This window comes from Homo sapiens, chromosome X (genome assembly GCF_000001405.40).
Source record: "Homo sapiens chromosome X, GRCh38.p14 Primary Assembly".
In the NCBI taxonomy this organism is placed as follows: Eukaryota; Metazoa; Chordata; class Mammalia; order Primates; family Hominidae; genus Homo; species Homo sapiens.
In genome coordinates, this window is record NC_000023.11 from 37,396,279 (window position 1) to 37,420,768 (window position 24,490).

The 24,490-nt window shown below is 37.5% G+C and overlaps 1 protein-coding gene across 5 annotated transcripts in view; it reads left to right on the plus strand.

Annotated features, from left to right (window-relative positions):
* PRRG1 (proline rich and Gla domain 1) overlaps positions 1–24,490 on the plus strand; it is a 107,928-nt gene that overhangs the window by 46,915 nt on the left and 36,523 nt on the right. For all 5 annotated transcript variants that reach the window (NM_001173489.2, NM_001173490.2, NM_000950.3 and 2 more), the window contains one exon: positions 9,931–9,981. In NM_001173489.2, the coding sequence (NP_001166960.1) occupies positions 9,972–9,981 (10 nt within the window). In that variant the 5' untranslated portion in view covers positions 9,931–9,971. The remainder of the gene's footprint in view (positions 1–9,930; positions 9,982–24,490) is intronic.

Here is a 24,490-nt window from a genome sequence, read left to right on the forward strand (position 1 = left end):
AAATGCACACAGAGAAGAAATCCTGAAAACTGTAGATTGTTGACTCTTACTTGAATATACTTGATACGGTTTGGCTGTGTCCCCACCCAAATCTCATCTTGAATTCCCACGTGTTATGGGAGGGACCCAGTGGGAGGTAATTGAATCATGGGGGGCAGGTCTTTCTCGTGCTGTTCTTGTGATAGTGAATAAGTCTCATGAGATCTGATGGTTCTGTAAGGGGGAGTTTCCCTGCACAAGCTTTCTTTTTTTGCCTGCTGCCAATCATGTAAGATGTGACTTGCTCCTCCTTGCCTTCTGCCATGATTGTGAGGCTTCCCCAGCCACATGCAACCATAAGTCCATTAAACCTCTTTTGTAAATTTCCCAGTCTCAGGTATGTCTTTATCAGCAATGTGAGAAGAGACTAATACAATACTGAGAGTATCATGTATAACATTGTTACTGAATTGTAAACTCAAAAAAAAAAAGCAGATAATTTGTCTCTCGTTTGCCAATTTTTTTCTCTAAGGCAGGGTTTTTTAACTTTGACACTATTGACATTTTGGACTGGTTAATTCTTTCTTGTAGGGGGCTGTTCTATGCATTGTAGGATGTTTAGCAGTACCTGGCCCCAACCCACTAGATGTCAGCAGCACCCCTCTCCAGTTGTGACAAACAAAAATATCTCTAGACATTGCCAAATGCCCCCTCGGGGGAAAATTGCCTCCAGTTGAGAACCACTACTCTGAAGAATAAAATAGCGTGTGGCAAATAAAAGACACTCACCAAATATTTTTGGATTGACTGAAGACAGGAAAGAACAGTCTCCCACAAAATGTACCACTTGTGATATGCTTTGAATATCTAGGTATGACCTGGAAAAATTTCTATAACTTTAATAGTTATGTATTTTATATACATTAGAAAATATATAACATGACAAACCCATGTTTTTGCCTGCTATTTTATAGGACAGTGCTAAAGTCGATACTGAAGTTAAAAAGTAACTTAATTGAAAGAAACATTAACTGTACACAACAGATACATTAAACACAACTCATCAAATTGATTAAGGTGGTATGTGAATTACTGGAGTTTGAAGCACTCATTTATACTAAGGGAAACTTAAGCACAAATGAGCTTCCCCTAAGTCTGGTTTGTGTAGGCCACTAGAATCCTCTTTGGGAATGATCTACTGCCTTGCACAGGCTAGATACAGGTGTTGAAGACAAATTGCTTACTCTTTGAGAATTAGTCTGATAGACACTATAAGATATGAACATCAGGATGAGGTAGCATTATGAGAGTTCAAAGGAAAAAGAAATTACTTTCTACTCAGGTAATGAGGGAAAATATCACTATTGATATTGAAGGATGAATGGAATTTTTGTAGTAGATAATACAGAGGAAAAGAGCAGAGGCAAAGAGTTGGACCAGTTCAAAACATATTTAAGGGATGAGTAGAGGCTGGTTTGGCTGGAGTGTAGTATAACTATTAAGGAAGGTGGAACCTGCTTGTAGAGGGTATGTAATGCCAGGGTGGGTTATCCATAGAACAAAGATTATTTGATTTTCTAATGTCTGGCTAAAAGCTGCTTTGTTGTTATTGTTTTTAAGTGTATTGTCATTATTTTAGAAGTAATGTTTAGTTTGGGATGGGGACCTGACTGAGAATCAAGATAAATAAATACTGCTGCTTACAGAAGTATAAAAACTAACACACACACACACACACACACACACACACACACACACATACACGCTGAAAGAAGGGACCAGATGGGGGCAGGGCACAGACAAACAAAAAAATAGCAGTAACCTCTGCAGACTTAAATGTCCCCGTCTGACAGCTTTGAAGAGAGCAGTGGTTCTCCCAGCACGCAGCTGGAGATCTGAGAACGGGCAGACTGCCTCCTCAAGTGGGTCCCTGATCCCCGACCCCCGAGCAGCCTAACTGGGAGGCACCCCCCCAGTAGGGGCGGACTGACGCCTCACACGGCCGGGTACTCCTCTGAGACAAAACTTCCAGAGGAACGATCAGACAGCAGCATTCGCGGTTCACGAGAATCCGCTGTTCTGCAGCCACCGCTGCTGATACCCAGGCAAACAGGGTCTGGAGTGGACCTCTAGCAAACTCCAACAGACCTGCAGCTGAGGGTCCTGTCTGTTAGAAGGAAAACTAACAAACAGAAAGGACATCCACACCAAAAACCCATCTGTATATCACCATCATCAAAGACCAAAAGTAGATAAAACCACAAAGATGGGGAAAAAACAGAGCAGAAAAACTGGAAACTCTAAAAAGCAGAGCGCCTTTCCTCCTCCAAAGGAACGCAGTTCCTCACCAGCAATGGAACAAAGCTGGACAGAGAATGACTTTGACGAGTTGAGAGAAGACGGCTTCAGACGATCAAACTCCTCCGAGCTACAGAAGGAAATTCAAACCAAAGACAAAGAAGTTAAAAACTTTGAAAAAAATTTAGACGAATGTATAACTAGAATAACCAATACAGAGAAGTGCTTAAAGGAGCTGATGGAGCTGAAAGCCAAGGCTCGAGAACTACGTGAAGAATGCAGAAGCCTCAGGAGCCGATGCGATCAACTGGAAGAAAGGGTATCAGTGATGGAAGATGAAATGAATGAAATGAAGTGAGAAGGGAAGTTTAGAGAAAAAAGAATAAAAAGAAACGAACAAAGCCTCCAAGAAATATGGGACTATGTGAAAAGACCAAATCTACATCTGATTGGTGTACCTGAAAGTGACGAGGAGAATGGAACCAAGTTGGAAAACACTCTGCAGGGTATTATCCAGGAGAACTTCACCAATCTAGCAAGGCAGGCCAACATTCAAATTCAGGAAATACAGAGAATGCCACAAAGATACTCCTCGAGAAGAGCAACTCCAAGACACATAATTGTCAGATTCATCAAAGTTGAAATGAAGGAAAAAATGTTAAGGGCAGCCAGAGAGAAAGGTTGGGTTACCCACAAAGGGAAGCCCATCAGACTAACAGCTGATCTCTTGGCAGAAACTCTACAAGCCAGAAGAGAGTGGGGGCCAATATTCAACATTCTTAAAGAAAAGAATTTTCAACCCAGAATTTCATATCCAGCCAAACTAAGCTTCATAAGTGAAGGAGAAATAAAATACTTTACAGACAAGCAAATGCTGAGAGATTTTGTCACCACCAGGCCTGCCCTAAAAGAGCTCCTGAAGGAAGCACTCAACATGGAAAGGAACAACCAGTACCAGCCACTGCAAAATCATGCCAAATTGTAAAGACCATCGAGACTAGGAAGAAACTGCATCAACTAACGAGCAAAATCACCAGCTAACATCATAATGACAGGATCAAATTCACACATAACAATATTAACTTTAAATGTAAATGGACTAAATGCTCCAATTAAAAGACACAGACTGGCAAATTGGATAAAGAGTCAAGACCCATCAGTGTGCTGTATTCAGGAAACCCATCTCACGTTCAGAGACACACATAGGCTCAAAATAAAAGGATGGAGGAAGATCTACCAAGCAAATGGAAAACAAAAAAAGGCAGGGGTTGCAATCCTAGTCTCTGATAAAACAGACTTTAAACCAACAAAGATCAAAAGAGACAAAGAAGGCCATTACATAATGGTAAAAGGATCAATTCAACAAGAACAGCTAACTATCCTAAATATATATGCACCCAATACAGGAGCACCCAGATTCATAAAGCAAGTCCTGAGTGACCTACAAAGAGACTTACACTCCCACACAATAATAATGGGAGACTTTAACACCCCACTATCAACATTAGACAGATCAACGAGACAGAAAGTTTACAAGGATACCCAGGAATTCAACTCAGCTCTGCACCAAGTGGGCCTAATAGACATCTACAGAACTCTTCACCCCAAATCAACAGAATATACATTTTTTTCAGCACCACACCACACCTATTCCAAAATTGTACACATAGTTGGAAGTAAAGCACTCCTCAGCAAATGTAAAAGAACAGAAATTATAACAAACTGTCTCTCAGACCACAGTGCAATCAAACTAGAACTCAGGATTAAGAAACACACTCAAAACCGCTCAACTACATGGAAACTGAGCAACCTGCTCCTGAATGACTACTGGGTACATAACGAAATGAAGGCAGAAATAAAGATGTTCTTTGAAACCAACGAGAACAAAGACACACCACACCAGAATCTCTGGGATGCATTCAAAGCAGTGTGTAGAGGGAAATTTATAGCACTAAATGCCCACAAGAGAAAGCAGGAAAGATCCAAAATTGACACACTAACATCACAATTAAAAGAACTAGAAAAGCAAGAGCAAACACATTCAAAAGCCAGCAGAAGGCAAAAAAATAACTAAAATCAGAGCAGACCTGAAGGAAATAGAGACACAAAAAACCCTTCAAAAAATTAATGAATCCAGGAGCTGGTTTTTTGAAAGGATCAACAAAATTGATAGACTGCTAGCAAGACTAATAAAGAAGAAAAGAGAGAAGAATCAAATAGACACAATAAAAAATGATAAAGGGAATATCACCACCAATCCCACAGAAATACAAACTACCATCAGAGAATACTACAAACACCTCTACGCAAATAAACTAGAAAATATAGAAGAAATGGATAAATTCCTCGACACATACACCCTCCCAAGACTAAACCAGGAAGAAGTTGAATCTCTGAATAGACCAATAACAGGCTCTGAAATTGTGGCAATAATCAATAGCTTACCAACGAAAAAGAGTCCAGGACCAGATGGATTCACAGCCGAATTCTACCAGAGGTACAAGGAGGAACTGGTACCATTCCTTCTGAAACTATTCCAATCAATAGAAAAAGAGGGAATCCTCCCTAACTTATTTTATGAGGCCAGTATCATCCTGATACCAAAGCCGGGCAGAGACACAACCAAAAAAGAGAATTTTAGACCAATATCCTTGATGAACATTGATGCAAAAATCCTCAATAAAATACTGGCAAACCAAATCCAGCAGCACATCAAAAAGCTTTTCCACCATGATCAAGTGGGCTTCATCCCTGGGATGCAAGGCTGGTTCAATATACGCAAATCAATAAATGTAATCCAGCATATAAACAGAACCAAAGACAAAAACCACATGATTATCTCAATAGATGCAGAAAAGACCTTTGACAAAATTCAACAACCCTTCATGCTAAAAACTCTCAATAAGTTAGGTATTGATGGGACGTATCTCAAAATAATAAGAGCTATCTATGACAAACCCACAGCCAATATCATACTGAATGGGCAAAAACTGGAAGCATTCCCTTTGAAAACTGGCACAAGACAGGGATGCCCTCTCTCACCACTCCTATTCAACATAGTGTTGGAAGTTCTGGCCAGTGCAATTAGGCAGGAGAAAGAAATAAAGGGTATTCAATTAGGAAAAGAGGAAGTCAAATTGTCCCTGTTTGCAGATGACATGATTGTATATCTAGAAAACCCCATTGTCTCAGCCCAAAATCTCCTTAAGCTGATAAGCAACTTCAGCAAAGTCTCAGGATAAAAAATCAATGTACAAAAATGACAAGCATTCTTATACACCAACAACAGACAAACAGAGAGCCAAATCATGAGTGAACTCCCATTCACAATTGCTTCAAAGAGAATAAAATACCTAGGAATCCAACTTACAAGGGATGTGAAGGACCTCTTCAAGGAGAACTACAAACCACTGCTCAATGAAATTAAAGAGGATACAAACAAATGGAAGAACATTCCACGCTCATGGGTAGGAAGAATCAATATCATGAAAATGGCCATACTGCCCAAGGTAATTTATAGATTCAATGCCATCCCCATCAAGCTGCCAATGACTTTCTTCACAGAATTGGAAAAAACTACTTTAAAGTTCATATGGAATCAAAAAAGAGCCCGCATCACCAAGTCAATCCTAAGCCAAAAGAACAAAGCTGGAGGCATCACACTACCTGACTTCAAACTATACTACAAGGCTACAGTACTCAAAACAGCATGGTACTGGTACCAAAACAGACATATAGACCAATGGAACAGAACAGAGCCCTCAGAAATAATACTGCATATCTACAACCATCTGATCTTTGACAAACCTGACAAAAACAAGCAATGGGGAAAGGATTCCCTATTTAATAAGGGCTGGGAAAACTGGCTAGCGATAAGTAGAAAGCTGAAACTGGATCCCTTCCTTACACCTTATACAAAAATTAATTCAAGATGGATTAAAGACTTAAACGTTAGACCTAAAACCATAAAAACCCTAGAAGAAAACCTAGGCATTACCATTCAGGACATAGGCATAGGCAAGGACTTCATGTCTAAAACACCAAAAGCAATGGCAACAAAAGCCAAAATTGACAAATGAGATCTAATTAAACTAAAGAGCTTCTGCACAGCAACAGAAACTACCATCAGAGTGAACAGGCAACCTACAAAATGGGAGAAAATTTTCACAACCTACTCATCTGACAAAGGGCTAATATCCAGAATCTACAATGAACTCAAACAAATTTATAAGAAAAAAACAACCCCATCAAAAAGTGGGCAAAGGACATGAACAGACACTTCTCAAAAGAAGACATTTATGCAGCCAAAAAACACATGAAAAAATGCTCACCATCACTGGCCATCAGAGAAATGCAAATCAAAACCATAATGAGAAACCATCTCACACCACTTAGAATGGCAATCATTAAAAAGTCAGGAAACAACGGGTGCTGGAGAGGATGTGGAGAAATAGGAACACTTTTACACTGTTGGTGGGACTGTAAACTAGTTCAACCATTGTGGAAGTCAGTGTGGCGATTCCTCAGGGATCTAGAACTAGAAATACCATTTGACCCAGCCATCCCATTACTGGGTATATACCCAAATGACTATAAATCATGCTGCTATAAAGACACATGCACACGTATGTTTATTGTGGCACTATTCACAATAGCAAAGACTTGGAACCAAGCCAAATATCCAACAATGATAGACTGGATTAAGAAAATGTGGCACATATACACCATGGAATACTATGCAGCCATAAAAAAGATGAGTTCATGTCCTTTGTAGGGACATGGATGAAATTGGAAATCATCATTCTCAGTAAACTATCGCAAGGACAGAAAACCAAACACCGCCTGTTCTCACTCATAGGTGGGAATTGAACAGTGAGAACACATGGACACAGGAAGGGGAACATCACACTCTGGGGACTGTTGTGGGGTGGGGGGAGGGGGGAGGGATAGCATTAGGAGATATACCTAAGGCTAAATGACGAGTTAATGGGTGCAGCACACCAGCATGGCACATGTATACATATGTAACTAAGCTGGACATTGTGCACATGTACCCTAAAACTTAAAGTATAATAATAATAAAATAAAATAATAAAATAAAATAAAATAAAATAAAATAAAATGAATCTTAACACACACACACAGACAAAAAAGAAGGGACCAGAGACTAGAACAGCAGAGGATCCGAATGGAAAGATCATTCCATCAGAAGAAGCAAGGAGGTAACCTGGGCCTGGGGGAGTTTGGGGCTTGAGGTGATATGGGTATTAGGCCTTGAGCCTTTTATCTCTCTAAGAAAATTGTCTTATTTAAAATAAGATGCTGATCTTTGGAAGTTTATTACTGAAACGCTCGGTGAGGTGGCTGACATGTAGTATTGATTTTTGCCTCCTTGGTTTTATCTTCCCCTGGAAGATGGCTGCCTCCAGTGATGCTTGTTGTCTCCACCATGCTGACCTCTGGAGCAGCAATTCCTCTTTGAAAATCCTGGCCCATGCCTGACAGCTCGTTCCTTTGTGGTTTTTCCTAACACAACTGAAATAGGTTTGATTCTTTTCTAAAAGACTTTATTAAATATTAAAGAATAAACAAAAAATAAAATATGAGAAGTCCTGCCAGATTTACCTAGCATCTCTGATATCACTGTCCCTGGTCAAGCCACTCTCACACCTCAAATCTCCTTTCCCTACTGCTGCCAGAGGTGTCTTCTTTAAATCCCAATTTAGCTATATCACTACCCTGTTTAACTCTTTCATGCTTCTCATTCGTACATGGATTATATTTTAGTATATTAACTTTCTTTTGGTATTTCCTGGAGTAAGGATGGTTTTATAGTTATGTTGACATAATGATTATTTCATTTATCTGATTTGAATGGGTTACAGTTAAAATTGAGATGACACTTGGGAAGGGTGAGCACCTTCCTGTAAAAAGGTATGAGTTCTAACACTTTCCTAAAGGTTTCCCAGAATAGCTTTATCTGAAGGGTCAGGAGTCACTGTATTTCAAATTGTGCTTCCTATAGTGCTAGGTTTCTGATGAGGTATGTCCAGGCCACCTCCAGAAAAAATCTCAATGGGTGAGACTACAACCCTCCACCCCAATTCTGCCTGAAGAGTTCCACCCTAACCCATTTTTTATATATTGGTGGTCCGCATAAAATTTTTTGAGGGCTGTCTGCTGCTTTCAAAAAAGATGTGTTGATGAGAAGTCATTAGATGATTTCTAAAGTTCCTTTCAACTCCAAAATTATCTGAGAATCCAGCCCCCTTGACTTCTTTCTTGATTCACTTTATGCTAATTTTGTTCCATATGATTAAAATAATAGAATTTCAGAGCTGCAAGAAACTTTAGCAGTTATCTTGTCCAGTTTTCCAAAATGAGCTCCAAAGAACAAGACTCCTGAGAAACGCCCATCGCTTACAGAAAGGACTGTATAGCTAAATATTTTGAGACTGTACTTTTGTCCCATTGCTCATTAGCATTTTAAAGGCTCTGAAAAGTCTTATAATAAAGAAACCTGATTAAATTAAGTCGGTATTTCCTACATGGGAAGCATGGGCTCTGTATCAACTTACTATGACCTTCTTTATCTGGTACTAGTTTCTGCCCTATTACCAGATCAAAGAGCTCTGTTTTTGAATAACACACTTTTTAACATGCTGTGGAGGATAATTTGGGAAAACTCATATAGTTGAGCCTCCTCCTTTTGCAAAGAATTTATGATAGGAAATGATTGATCAAGTGTCACACAGCTGATTATCAGGTCTCAGTCTAATATTTATTCCTTATTGGTCTCTGCTTAACTTCAAGTAGGTTATAGATTCCTTAATGGACTGATAGTTTATGTCTTATAGCTTTACCTTTCAGGCGCTTAGTTTCATATTGGGAACATGACAAGTGAATAATAAATACATGATAGCTCTATGATTGAACCCTGTGAGAAAATGAAGCATTATGATATGAATTGGTTTCTGTGTATGTATGAGTGTTTTTTTTTTTCATCTTTTGGAAACAGAATTTCTGCTCCCCTGTGTACACCCTTTCTCTGTAATTGCAGTGTATGTTTTTTGTTTCTCCAAAGTTTCTGTTGTCAGTAGTTTATGATCATTGGTTCATACTGTTTATTGGAAATAACTCTGTGGGCTGCTTTGCCTCAGGGCTAATTTGATTAGGGATGCTGTTGTTTTACACCGTTTGGGAAAATGTTACACTTTAAAGGGTATTGGATTTGTCACAGAATGATATTGAAGGGAAGCCGGAGACAGGAAAGCTAGTAACTTGCTGGCCTGGTTATTAGCATTGGACCTTTTGGGATTTTTGTCTGCCATTTTTGTTGATACTGCTGTTTTCTGAAGAGATAAGTGTGTGACCAATTTGAGGATTGTTATTTGGCACACGCAGAAACTAGTACCAGATAAAGAAGGTCATAGTAAGTTGATATAGAGCCCCTGCTTCCAGAATATTGTGCTTCTGTCCTCTGAGGTTAGATTTTCTCTTTGTGAGGGAGAAAACATTTATGTAAGGGAGAAAGATTGGAATGTACTGAAATGAAATGCTCACATTGACCACATCAGCTGTACTGGAGCTTATCTGATGTAGCCACTCAGCCTCTATCAATCTGACTGTGTGTATGTGCTCTGTTTTGTACAGGGAATCATCATCCAGGGACGTGCCAGAAACCACAAGAAAACATGGGGAGGGGTAAGTTTCTCTTCCTTTTTAAGTAATTCAGACTGTCTCCATAGCTATTATAGTCAGGAAATTAAATTTCTAACTCATAGTATATTTGTGGACACCTAAATTGTATTTCTTGTTAGTGTTAGAAAGTTTTTGTCTGAAGCAGGGCTTTTCAGAGAAAGACCATCAACCACATTTATTCACTGGATCTTTGATTTTCTTCTTTTGTAGAGACCTCCCAGTATAGGGAGAGATGGATCAAGCTTGATACTATATATATAGTATATACTATTTTATATATATAACTCACAGATACTATATATATACACCTTCCCCAAACCCAGCTTCTTTATAAGTCTTTTTTCTGTTTTCTGTTTTCTTGCTAGTAACACAAAATAAAGAGAGTCTACTATGCAGCCAATAACAGTAGTAAAAAAAAATCATCTGTGAGGTTGATTTGTAATTTTTTTAAAAATTTTAAAGCCCGGCATTAAGAACCATTAGATGAATTCCTTTTGTTTATTTTTGCCTTCTCATAAGGCTGTTTATGGGCAGTGGACAACAGATAAATTTAAGTTCATTTCATTGTTAATATTAAGCAGCCACCACAGGGACTTCATAAATAATTCTAATTAATGTATATCATGTCAACCTAAAATAATCAAAAGGGTCAGAATCTAGTTTAAAGAGTTTATTTGAGTGCAAAGGTTGAGGACGGACTCCAAAGAATGGAAATCACTGTTTCCAGTTGTAGAAGTTTGGGGATCACTCGAATAGACAAAGTTTAGGATATTTTAACAGAATTTTAACATCTTTCTATGTAAGGCTTACTGCATAGTTACAATGACCTGATTGATCCGGGTGGTCCTTTTCTTTCAGGAAAGGTATATTTAACATTCCACACTGAAGATGTGATTGTCATGGGGTCTCTGTTTGGGGCACCATCTGGTCTGAGTTAGGTACAGGATAATAGAGTAGCAAAGATCAGTGACTGAAAGGGGGAGGTCTGGCCTCTGGTCTTTGCTATTCATTTACAAAACAATAGCAATGAGGAAGAGTGTTAAACTATAACCTAAGAAACAGAACTGCAAAATGTTATGTGACTGAAACCACAGTCACATGTCTCCCAAGGCTTAAAGTGTTTTGGGGGGTCCCAACAGCTTTTACATTTTATTAATTTTCACAATTATAAAATTAGAATGCCTTGAAGGATCTCAGAGGAAGATTTGGTGTGTGGTGTGGTATAGTACAGTGAGAAGAATACTGGATACAGAAGGCCTGAATTCAAGTTCCACCTCTACTACCTTGATCAAATCCTAGAACCTCCCTAAACTCGTTTGTTCATCCCTGAGGTGGGATTAATACATTCTGCACTTCTAGCCTCAGAAAGTTGTCGTTGGCATAATGTGATAATACATGTAAAAGTGTTTTGAGAGTTCTAAAGTGTAATGGAATACAGCAGTGGTATCTGCCCATTACTGTCCTTACTAACTATATCTTCATTGTTTTTTTAATGGATAAAAATGAGGTTATTTGACCAGATGCTTCTGTAGGCAGCATGACTGGGACTTGGGTCATGCAAGCAACTGAGAATTCTTTTGTTGCACTTTGCTTGCCCCACCCTTGTGTGGGCCCTGGTAGGAAGCCCTAAGGATTATGGATCAATCATGGAAAATATCTTCTTGAATCTTGCTGAATCAGCTTTTGTTCCTGTTTTCTCCAGAGCTGCCCTTGGAAATTGATTAGGCCTAGCTATTCTGGTTCTTTCCAGATCTTCACAAAAGATGGCAATCTCTGATGGTTTCGAAATTTTAAAACTAAATGAACTTTTTAAAAACTATTCGGAATTCTGGGACTAATCTGTGCCACGTCCTGCCCGCAAATCAGCTCTCAATGGAAGCTTCTAGAGTAGTGATACGGCTCCAATGACTGGGGGAACTCCAGGGTCCTTAGTCTCATGTCGAGTTAGATAAAACGACACAGATACACGTGGAGTGGTTTTAAGTAGTGGAGAGTTTAATAGACTAGAAAGAAGGAAGAAGCTCCCTCCTACAGCTGAGAGAGGAAACCTCGAATGTGGTGGAAAACAGCCAGTTATATGAGGAGGCTGGAGGAGGCAGTGTCTGATTTGCATAGGGCTCAGGGGATTGGTTTGACCAGGTATGTCGTTGACATAGCCTGCGAGAAAACTGGCCCTCCCACCCTAGCGTTTTAATGTGCAAATGTATCCCCATGATGTTCTACACATGTGGGGGATATGTGGGGGTGGCCATGTTGCCAGGAACATGTTGGGGCAAGGGGAAGAAGATGGTGGGAATCGCCACGTTTGTGTGGACCCAGTTTCCAGTGGCAGGTATTTGCATATCAAAGCTTGCCGGCCCAACTTTAAGAGCCTGGGCTTTCCCGCTAGACAAGAAACGTTTCTGGAGCAGCTTTAAAAGAAACAAAAACTTCCCAAGGACCCCCTTTCCTATCTATTGCCTAAAATAATTTCTTAGTAACTCCTATAACATTAGAACATCATGTTTGATCCTCACCCAATCCCAAAAGCTTCAAGTGGATTTGGAGAATGTTCTGGTTGTTGGATACTGCTATAGCCATATAGAGGAGAGAGCTGCACTGAGACGAAACCCGTTCTTTCTCATTTCCTCTATTCATTTTTAGACTGCTCATCAGGTCACTAGCAAAGGGACTGTTAGGTGCTTAGTTTAGAAGATGTCTCAGCAACTTTTTGTTCAAATGGTCAGGCAATTAGTAGTTGACCTTTGAACAATGTGGGGGCTAGGGATGACTCTGTTGCATAATCAAAAATCCATGTATAATTTTTGATGCCCCCAAAACTTAACTACTAATAGCCTACTGTTGACTGAAAGCCTTACCAATAATATAAACAATTGATTAACACATACTTTATATGCTATGTGTATTACATACAGTATTCTTGTAATAAAATACACTAGAGAATAGAAAATATTAAGAAAATCATAAGAAAAAGAAAATGTATTTACTAGTAAGTGGAAGTAGATCATCATAAAGGTCTTAATTTTTGTCATCTTCACGTTGAATCAGTGGAGGAAGAAGAGGAATTGGTCTTGCTGTCTTAGGAGTGGCAGAGACTGCAGAAAATTTGCATAGAAATTAACCCGTGCAGTTCAAATATGTGTTGTTCAAGAGTCAACTGTAGTTCTTGCTAAAGAACAGGGCATGGTAATGTAATCTGCAAAGATAGGCATGTTTCCAGGCTGGTGATGAGATAAGGGAAGTGCTTCAAAGAATGCTGCTTTTACAAATACAGAAGCTTGTGATAGCATTTTCACTGTGTTGACCACTTTGAAAGTATTTGTAATATCCTGAATCTCAAAGAGACTCTATCCTTTACTCTCTAAGCTTTGCTTAGTTTGCCTGATTACATTTGTTAATTGCTGACACTGTTATTGGGGAGAAAAAGATGCTACTGTATGCTCATTTTTCTCTTTTCTGGCACTGTACAATGAAATTTTTCCTGCACTTGGCAAAGATTCTCACAAACGTAGCCCAGTGTATCATACAGAGGGACACAGAGGAAAAATATTGCAAAGATATGACACTAGCCTCATAACATAAATTAAGGATGCATGAAAACAAAAAACACACTTGGATAACTGTACAGTTTAGGTGAGAAATTAAAACTGAGGTGAATTTCTTTTAGCATTCTTTGATATTAGATGAAGAAGTTATTTGTACATATGTGTTAGAAGAATCATTCGTTTATGTGACATGAAGGATTATAAACAAAATTTAAATATTAAGGTGGGGAAGATGAGAACAGCCTTGTATATTTAATTTTTTATTAGTCTACTACTACCAGTGTCCATTGTGTGTGGCACTGAAATCCCATTCACTATGTATGAATTCTTAAACAGGGCTTAGTATTTAGGACTCTTAAGAATCTATAATTATTCTGAGATTAACACATTTCTGTAGAGCACTTTATAACTCATAGGTATTCCCTCTACATTATCTTGAGTTGTAAGACAACCCTATGTTGTAAATAGGGATTATTATCCTCATTTTATGTATTATAAAACTGAGGCTCATAAGAAAAAGTCTTATCTGTAATCCACAGACTACTAATGGAGAGCCAAAATGCAAATCTAGGTCTTATGTTACATCCAGTTTTTTTTCTTCCAATAAACCATGTTCTGCATATCTTAATCATCAGTAGTGTGTAAGTCAATTAAAAACTTAGGAGCTCTCTGTTGCTGTGAGAGGTATGGAAGAAATTATTTTTTGATATCTGCAATGTTCATATTATCATGAGGGACTGGACAGATAGGCGAAGGGAAATGGCTCATTGTTCATCAACCTTTAGGGTAACAGCTAAAATACATGTGTATCAGATGGTGGAGTGCCTCAAATATTAAAATCCTCTGAGCAGCAGTGGTCTATGTCTGTGGTAATTCAAAAGGCAGCTACACTGATTGGCAGTGACCATAGTAGATAACAAAACAACTCAGTTCAGAAGCTCGTGCTACACAGTCCACAAGGGAAGGTGCCTAAAGTAAAGGGCCTGATGCCGCTTACCTGGCCTATGTGAAACTCACCCGTTTGACTGATGAGTTTTTATCTTTGTTGCTTTTGTTGACACAAGGAATATAATGCATCATGGAACACCAGAATAGCATGAGATGACAAGATGAGATACTGGTTCAAAAATGAACAGCAGGTATAAATAAAATTATATGTAAAATTCTAGTAGAGAACATTTTTACAAAGAGAATGTGAGGATTTTACAAATGTGTATGTATAGACTCACATAGCATTATAATATAATCAGCCTTCCATATCTGTAGGTTCCACATCTGTAGATTCAACCAACCATGGATCGAAGTTATTTGAGAAAAAAACAAAAAAATAAGAATACAACAATAAAGTGCAAATAAAAATACAGTATGTAAACATAGCATTTACATTGTATTAGGTTTTATAAGTAATCTAGAGATGATTTACAGTATACAGAAGGATATGCATAGGTTATATGCAACTACTATGCCATTTTATATAAGGGACTTGAGCATTTTGGTATCTGTGGAAGTCCTGGAACCAATCCCCAGTGGATACCAGATGACTGTTCTAGGATATTTATCTTTAATCATCTTCAAATGGTAATTAGAACTATATTTTACCTTTTCATTTCTCATCTGACCAACTGGCATATTCATGATAAAATGGTAAAAGGCCCAGTACTCCCAGTAAGTATTATCTTTACCTACAATGAATATTTTTCAGTTTTCTTGCTTTAAAAATTTTGTGATTATTGTTTTTATTACAGTGTTTCGGTAGAATTTGATTTTTAAAAATATAGCTACTTTCCATCTGAATTTTTTTCTATCTCAGAACACATTTCTATTACTGAATCTTCTAAGTGCTGTAGTTTGTGGTATCTGCTAGCCTCATATGAAGTTATTAATGGCTATTTTCACTGTCTACCTTAAAAGCAGAGCTTCTGGGAGAAGTTCATCATGTTGTCTTGATAATAGCAAATCATGAGCTAGCTGCTCGTACACATCTTCCACAAAATAGGAATAATACTTAGCCATGAATTTTCAAAAGGATTAATTTTGCTTTGTTATATACAAAGCAATATCTGGAATAGCTTAATGATTGCAATCAGGCAGGTCTACTTTGTGGAGGATAATCTGAATTAAAATATGAAGATAACTTAGGATTTTTTTTTTCTGTTTCTCCTCTTCCAGTATTTAGTCTTTGGAAATAGGTCTTACCTACCTAGCTTAGAAGAAAATCTTAGGTCTATAAAATCTTAATATGAAAAGTCAGTTTCCATTTTCATTTTCTGTACTTAATAGTAACATGACCTTAATGTCTTAGCATAAATGAATTTTTATGGTCGTGCTATAGCAAAACAGTGGTAGTGTTGCCAGTTAGTCTTTGTTTCTTATTAAAACATAGCAGCATAATTCCTCTGGGTCCTTGCATGTGCTGGGCTCCTTTATCCCAAGGAACTCAAACATATCCCCCTAGTTGTCAAGACTTAGTGGAAGGCAAGATGGTTTACAGCCACCACAGTAAATACATAAGTTCTTTAATTCACTGCTGAACTATTGTTAAGTTGAAGCCAATTCTAAACTTTAACTGAGTGTACAGCTCTATATTGTCAAATAGGGAATGAACCTTCAAACTGACAAGCCCTGTAAAGTAACTGTCTTATAATGAAGTGCCTAATTTTATTTGGCTTTATGGTTCAAGTGAAGTTATCCATTTAAAGTCAATTAATTATTTCATTTTTCTGGCCTATATTAGATTTGAGAGTCTCTTTATTGTGACATATTCAGGCCTCTTTAGTTTAGATGATGTCAATAATTTATTATAAATTCTTATCTTCAGAATTTTATAACAGTAATACGAATTTGCTTGTAGCTGACAACTGCCATAATTTTTTCTTGGCAAGTTTTTCTCACCAGAAAAAAAAAAAGAACTAACGGAGAGGTTACTTTTAAAAAACTCATTATAGTGCTTGATGCTTTTTGTCTTTGATGCAATCCTCTCTGCCATTTACTTATTAAAGAAGAAAATAACCTTTGGCACATAATTTTAGAAAGGTTTCTCAACTTTAGCACTATTGATTTTTTTTAATGGAGGCAAAATTTATATAACATAGACTTGACTGTTTTAAAGTGTATAATTCAGTGGCATTTAGTACATTTTGTAACCAGAAGGTTGCTGTGCTGTAAGGAAAATAGTTACAAAATGTACTAAAGGTTGCTGTGCAACCTTCCAGTTATAAAACATTTTCATCACTTCCAAAGGAGATCCTATTCCCATTAAGCAGTCACTTAATCCCTTCCCATTATCAACATCCCTTACCAGAGAGGTACATTTGTTACAATCAATGAGATTACATTGACATGTCATTATCACCCAAAGTCCATAATTTACATTAGGGTTCACTCTTGTTGTTGTATATTCTATGAGTTTGGGTAAATGCGTAAAGAATGACATGTACCCACCATTATAGTATTATACAGAGTAGTTTCACTGCCCTAAAAAAAAATCCTCTGTGTGCCACCTATTCATGCCTCCTGCCCACTCCCTCTCCACCCCTGGCAATCACTGATCTTTTTATTATCTCTGTGATTTTGCCTTCTCAGATTGAAGAGAAAGAAGCCTTCTCAGATTGGCTTCTTTCACTTAGTATTATGCATTTAGGATTCTTTCATGTCTTTCCATGATTTGATGCTTGTAAATTCTCAACTGTTTGGGGGTAAATATCAAGGAGTACCATTGCTGTATCATATGGTAAGAGTATGTTTAGTTTTGTAAGAAACCATGAAACCGTCTTCTAAGTGGCTTTACTATTTTACATTCCCACCAGCAATGAAAGAGAGTTTCTATTGCTCCATGTCCTTGCCAGCATTTGATGTTGTCAGTGTTCTAGATTTTGGCCAGTTAAATAGGTGTGTAGTGGTATCTTCTTGTTTTAACTTGCAATTCCCTGATGACATATAGCCATGAGCTGCATAATGATGTTTTCTTCAATGACAGACCACATATATGAAGGTGGTCCCATAAGATTATATACCGTATTTTTACGGTAACTATCCTATGTTTAGATATGTTTAGATACACAAATACTTACATTATGTTACTTACAGTATTCACTGTATTCAGTAAGTTGCTTATAGTATTCAGTACAGTCACATGCCATACAGTTTTGTAGCCTAGGAGCAATGAGACTATACCATATAGCCTAGGTGTATAGTAGGTTATGCCATCTAGGCTTGTGTAAGTATACTCCATGATGTTTGCGTAACAACAAAATCACCTAACGATGCATTTCTCATGATGCATCCTGCCGTTAAGCGACACATGACCAAATGCTGTGGAGCATATTTTCATATGTTTATTTGCCATCCATGTATCTTTTTTGGTGAGGTGTTTGTTAAGATCTTTGGCCCATTTTTATATGCTTGTTTTCTTACTGTTTTAAGAGTTCTTTATACATTTTGGATAGCAATCTTTTACCAGATGTACCTTTTTCAAATGTTTTCTCCCACTCGGTGGTTTGTCTTTTCATTCTCTCGATATAATGGTGTTTTTTATAGAAGTAAGTTGAGTCTAAAGGAGAGCAGAGTATGATTCTGGAGACCAAGGTACAGTCCTAGTCCTATCATCAAGTAGCTGTGGCTTTGGGTAAGTCACTTAACCTATAGATTTCAGTGTAGTGTTCTGGTCAGCAAAATGAAGGGGTTAAGATGGATCAGTGGTTTCCAATGTGTTCGGTGAAGCCACAGATCTTCTAAAGGGGCCCCTGAGGGGCCACCATGAGGGAAGAGAGGAAAAGGAAGTGCCCCTGGTACATAACACCTCTCCTTCAGACAGAACAACTGTACTACATTGTATTTTATCTGTTTTTATTTCATGATAGGTTGATTTGCAGAGGATCCTATGACTAATAAAATTTAGAAAGCTACCAGATTCAATGACTCTCAAAGATCTCTTTCAGTTCTGAAAATCTGCGACTCATGAACATTAATTACCATCCACCTTTTGAGGCTGTATTAATGTGTGAACAGATAGGAAAGAAAGTGATAGAGGAACTAGTGGAATAGCTAATGTTATGTGCTTCTCTGATGGTGACAAATCATTCACTCTCTATTTCATGGATTTGAAGTATATAATTCTTGTTCCAATGTGGCCTATGTATTAGGTTGAACCATAGGAACCTACACTTAACATATTACGTTGAACCATATGAAATGGCCTTCAAAAACTGTAATTTCATGTACTTCAACCAATATAAATGCAGTATGCATAGGGAACCCTTGAGTTCAGAGGCTTCTTAAAGCATCTAGATCGTATATGTATAAATGAATTAATTAAAAATGTGTCGCAGCCAGACGCGGTGGCTCACGCCTGTAATCCCAGCACTTTGGCAGGCTGAGGCGAGTGGATCACTTGAGGCCAGGAGTTCGAGACCAGCCTGACCAACATGGCGAAGCCCCGTCTGTACTAAAAATACAAAAATTACCCGCGCACGGTGGTGCACCCTGTAGTACCAGCTGCTCAGGAGGCTTAAGCAGGAGAATGGCTTGAACCTGGGAGGCAGAGGTTGCAGTGAGCCGAGATCATACCCCTGCACTCCAGCCTAGGTGATGGAGTGAGACTCTGTCTCAAAAAAATAAAATAAATAAAAATGTGCTGATTTCATGGGTGGTTAACAGTCCACTTTGGAAACAAATGAGATTCCAGAATTCTACACATCAGCCCACCACCTCCTTTGGGATTGATGTACATGTAGAATCAATAGGAAGAGTTTATTGAATATAATCAAAATCAATTTGGCTTTTACAATTGCTACATTCTTTTTGGCAAATGTCAGTAGCTGCCAATAGTTAAAGGCATGTGAGGTCTAGGCTCCCCACAATTTGACTACCAGGTTACAACTAAGTCTTAGGCCGAATTTTGCTATACACGGACATTTATCAACAAGATGGCACAGTTCTGCCATATAACTTATTATATAAACTCTATGAAATCCTATTTCTTTCCTTATTTAGGATCTCCCACAATATCTTAGATAAAAAGTTCATCTAAGGCATATGTGACAGCATTCTAGCAATGGTATTCAGCTAACCCATCTAGTTAGATTAAAGCAATCAAGAATCCTTCATATCAGCAGGTAAACATGAGGCCTTTCAGGAATCAAGTCTTGGCCACCATTCCTAAGGGTACAAACTGCAGAGGCTTTAGATTTTTCTACTGTGTTCAGGCACACCCTTGACTGCTGCTGTCATTTCTGGAGCAAATTCACATAAAAACATGTCTTTCACCAGTGAAAAGTCATTTGTGAAATTCATGTTAGTGCTTACTAACAATAGCACTAAACTCCTCAATGAAACTCCATTTCTTAAATCCATCATGCTCTATTGTGGGCTGGAGAGAAAGATAGCCAAATGCGTTTGTAGTAGCTACCTTAGAAATGTGGCTGTTTCGTTAAATGTAACATGTGTCCTACTAGGACAGTTATCCACTTCTAGAGTCTAGATTACAACTATCACATAGAATACCTATCCTACAGTCTATGCTGATGAGTTGTAAAGCAATCATTGCAATATAAAATTATGCATTATAAGCTATATTTCATCTTGTGAGTTTTATCTACCTGTCTTTATTTTCTATTAAATGGTGATTATTAGTCACAGCTATTACCATAGTCTTCTATATGAGATAGAATGTAATCAGTATAGATAGGGTCCATAAACTAGAAAGGAAATCATACGGTTGTAACAACCGCAAACATCAAGACTACTGATATTGCTGCTGGTACAATTGAGGCACCAGTAAGAGTAGAACTAGCTATCTTTGGAGTTCTCCTGTTTTGGTGATTCCATCTGATTGTGTGCTTAGTCATGACAAATTACACTAATAATTCCATATTTGTTTGTTTCTTGGGAGCAAGGCATTGCTCTTGGTTCAGAAATATGTATTAGAATACCATACCTTTAAATCAGTTTACATAATTGCTATTAATTTGATTGGTGTAATCTGCCATTTCATGACGAATTCTTTTTGATAAGAAGTAGTTATAAAGTTTAAAACCCCTTTAAAGAAAACTTTGCCTTTTGCCTTCCTCTGTGGGAGAATATATTGCGCCATTTCTCTCTATGTCCTTTTTCCTTACAAAGCATAAAATCATTAGATGAGAGACATCTGAATGTATTCTCTGAAATTTGGCTTTTAAGTATACCATATTGAGATAGTTAGTGTCACTCTGGTGGGAACCATGTTTGTTTTATTTTTAAAGAATACTGACTTTATAGACACACTTTACCTCTTTTGTCATCTCTCATAGAAATCCATTTCTGGCATATTATCCACACTTTTTCCAGGAAACCTACCTGTTATCTGGTATTTCATTGTATGCCTCTGGTACTACAGATTTGTTTAAGTTTTAGGTAATGATCATAACTACTGTATGGTCCTTAGGGGGCAGATTTCAGGTATTAAATATATTAATAATCATTATTTTTTTCTCAGTCTCTTAGACTTCCCACTCCCACTAGCTCAATCCTGCAACTTCCAATTATTTTTTAAATATATGAGCTTTTTAATGGGTTTCAGTTCCCTCATTCCTGTGTAAACATATACTATATGCTATACTAAACTCTAAGTTTGCAAAAACTGGTTGGGCACATGAGTACCACCATACAATAAATTCTGAATTATTATAAACATATCAGCTATGAAAAGTTAACTTTTAATTTTCAGAAATAGTTTAACAATGGTGAAATAAATTGGGACATTGTACATATTTCCACCTTCCTAAGTAAAAATAGGAGGATGATTTAAATAGTGTCTTTTTAGTTTGCTTAATTTTGTTTTTTAGTAAGTGAAATGTCACTTCAGAGTATAAGACTTTGATTTCCTAGGAAAAGTTGTTTCCATCAGTCTGTGATAAGAAGTACCTATTTAACACCTATTTCAGCAGAAAAAAAAAGTTTGAAGGCATTATATGCAGACACAACTGAATAATAGTATCAAAATGACTTACAAGCGAGAAAACAAAGAATTATGAGTTTGACACTTCATAAGATGTTTAAAAAATAAAGCTAAGCACAGGATTGGGTGGAATGGGTGCTTTTTTGATTTTCTCTGTTTGTTTGTTTATTATTGGTTTGGGATATGGTGATTGCTTGGCTGGAAAATTGTGTATTAATATCCCAAAAGGATTCGGATCCAATACACTACTCCCACTTCCTGAAATTCTTTCCAATTATAGAACTCTTTATGGTTACAACTGAAAGTACTTAAGAAATCATATCCAACACCTTTGCTTCATCAATTAGGAAACACGTTCAGATAAATTAAGCAACAAATGTAGGATCAGGTAGCCAGTTTACTGCCAGAGCTGCAACAGGAATCCATATATCCCGACTACAAATTCAGGGCCTTTTTACCATACCACACTTTTTCCTTATCCTATAGTTTCACTTGCCTCAATGCAGGGTTGGTGAAAATGGTTAATAGATATTGGCTCTCTTAGACTTCAACAACATATCTCAAAAGGCAGCTTTCATGTGACAAACAGAAGGCTCGAATAAGCAGAGAGCTTTGCATGTTCTATAGTCTTGTATGAGAAATTTACAATTAAGCTGGATTACTAGAGATTTATTCAGAAAAGAAATCGGCTTCCTTGTTAATTTGTGGACTCTGTAGATTCAGTCTGTGGTACAGCAACATTTATACAATACTGGGAAAAAATTTTCAATTTGAGCAAATATATTTTGCAGATTGAGGATGCTTACCTTTTTAAACATGATTTAAAAGATTTTTAAAAACCATATTTTTATAGAAATAGCTCTAAATTAGATTATATAATTTACTGCCTTCTTGAACATCATCCTGAACATCATATAGCCCTTTATTGGTAACTCACATTCACCATTGTAAACATAATCATTGATGTCTATAGCCTTGAGAGCTGTCAGTGTGATGGAGTTTAGATCCTACTCTAAATAACCCCCAAAGAGCCTTCTGACTCTCTTTTCCCTTGCCTTCAGATTAATTAGCTTTCACTTCTGTTGGCTTTCAGTATGTTGATCTAGTTCAGCCCACCCTGCCCCTTTTGCTTTCTAGTTTTCATGTGCAATGAGGCTTTGAAGTCTCAGGAGCCAGGCTCCTGCACATGGATAGAGGAAACTGACCTTTGGTTAGTGTAAGAAGTTGAGGTTCCCCTGTAGATAAAGCATCAAGTGAGTTGTAATGTATGACCTTGGTCATCTCTTGTGTCTAAGTTCATGAGAATGAGAATGGGTTTATTTGAGCAACTTTTGCATTTCTGCATAAACGAGGTATTACTGTCATTCATATCTGTAGTGATTATGTAAAACATTGAATAGCCACCCAAACTATCAACCTAAAGTTCAATAAAGCATATTTTGTTATAGTTACTTGTGATTATCTAAACATACATATCTGTCATGTATGTAACTTTTCTTTCATAATCTATCCTTTCTAAGAGCTTATTTGTGGTCTGTTGTTAAAATTCCAGTGATGATAAGCTATCAACATATATTTGACCAAAGTTGAAGTTAATAAAAGCAAGCATATACATTATGGCAAAGGGTATTTCCTCACAAGTTTGTTATAAGTATCAAGTCCTTATAATAAGGACCATTTCTGGACCATTTCTTGAGAAGAAGTTCTGAAATTTTAAAATCTCATGATATCCCCAAAATATTTATGAATCATAAAAGTATATTGTAGCAACTATACAGCATTGGTTAATTGAAAAGACTTATAAGATTCTACGGGGTATATTCTCATAAGGCTTTAATAATGGCTCAAGGTATGGTACAGCAGGAGAGAGATCACTCACAAGGCCATTTTTAGTTGCACAGGACACATTTGTCTTCTAATTGTGAACCACCAAGATTATGTGCAAGATAACCTTGGTATCGGGAGCTAAGGCTCATGTGTACAGAAGATCTTTGATATCCCACTGGTCATGTAGCTGAAACTAGACTATGTAATCAATTAGTCAGGTGCAATCAGCCTATATGTTTTCCAAAAACAGTTCAGGACAAGCTACTACAGTGTGCCTCCAAGCGAATTTGAGACATTAAATAGCACTTCATAAAGCTACTACATGTCATCCCAGACTTGACCAAGGAGACCAAACTCCCAGGCATTCCTGAAGTTAAGGAGACAGACTCACGGCAAGTTAATCCTATTTATTCTATATTTCCTAAGTGTATTTTTATTATCAGCTTGATAAATATCATTTTTTTTATTTCACAGAATAACTGCCACAATGGTAATGACAGTGAGTCACACTACTACTTATTGTAAATCTGTTTTTTTGTCAAGCCCTGAGCAAAGCACTCATTTATAACTTATAACTTGAGATTGGTGTTATTTTTTCAGTTTTATAGATGAATAAGTGACGCTTAGGTTTTTGTTTTCTTCACATGGCTATTTGTTCTGACAACCCTTTTTCTTTCTAACTAGTGCACACTAACAAGCTTGGGATATCCATAAGATTAAATTGATTACTCAAAACAACCACAAGGCTCCCCCCATCAATGCCATAATGTCTTTATTCCTTTTCTGACTAACCTTGTTCCCACAAGAAATCCAATAACTCCAGGGTTGCACAATAGGTCTAGAGGAGAGGCCCTGACTCTTGAATTGAAGAAGAGCTATGGAATGCTAGGTTCATTTGTAGAAAGTCCTCATTCTCTGTTCTTGATGTTCTTGCTACTGTTTGCTACTGTTTCTGGTGTATAGTCTTATATCAAAAATAGGGCACCTATGGCCAGGTGCTATGGTTCATGCCTGTAATCCCAGCACTTTGGGAGGCCAAGGTGGGAAGATGGCTTGAGCCCAGAGTTTGAGACCAGCCTGGGCAACATGGAAAAACCCCGTCTATGCAAAAAAAAAAAAAAAAAAAGAAAAGAAAGAAAAAAGAAAAAAGAGAAGTCAAGTGTGGTGGCACACACCTGTAGTCCCAGCTACTCAGGAGACTAAGGTG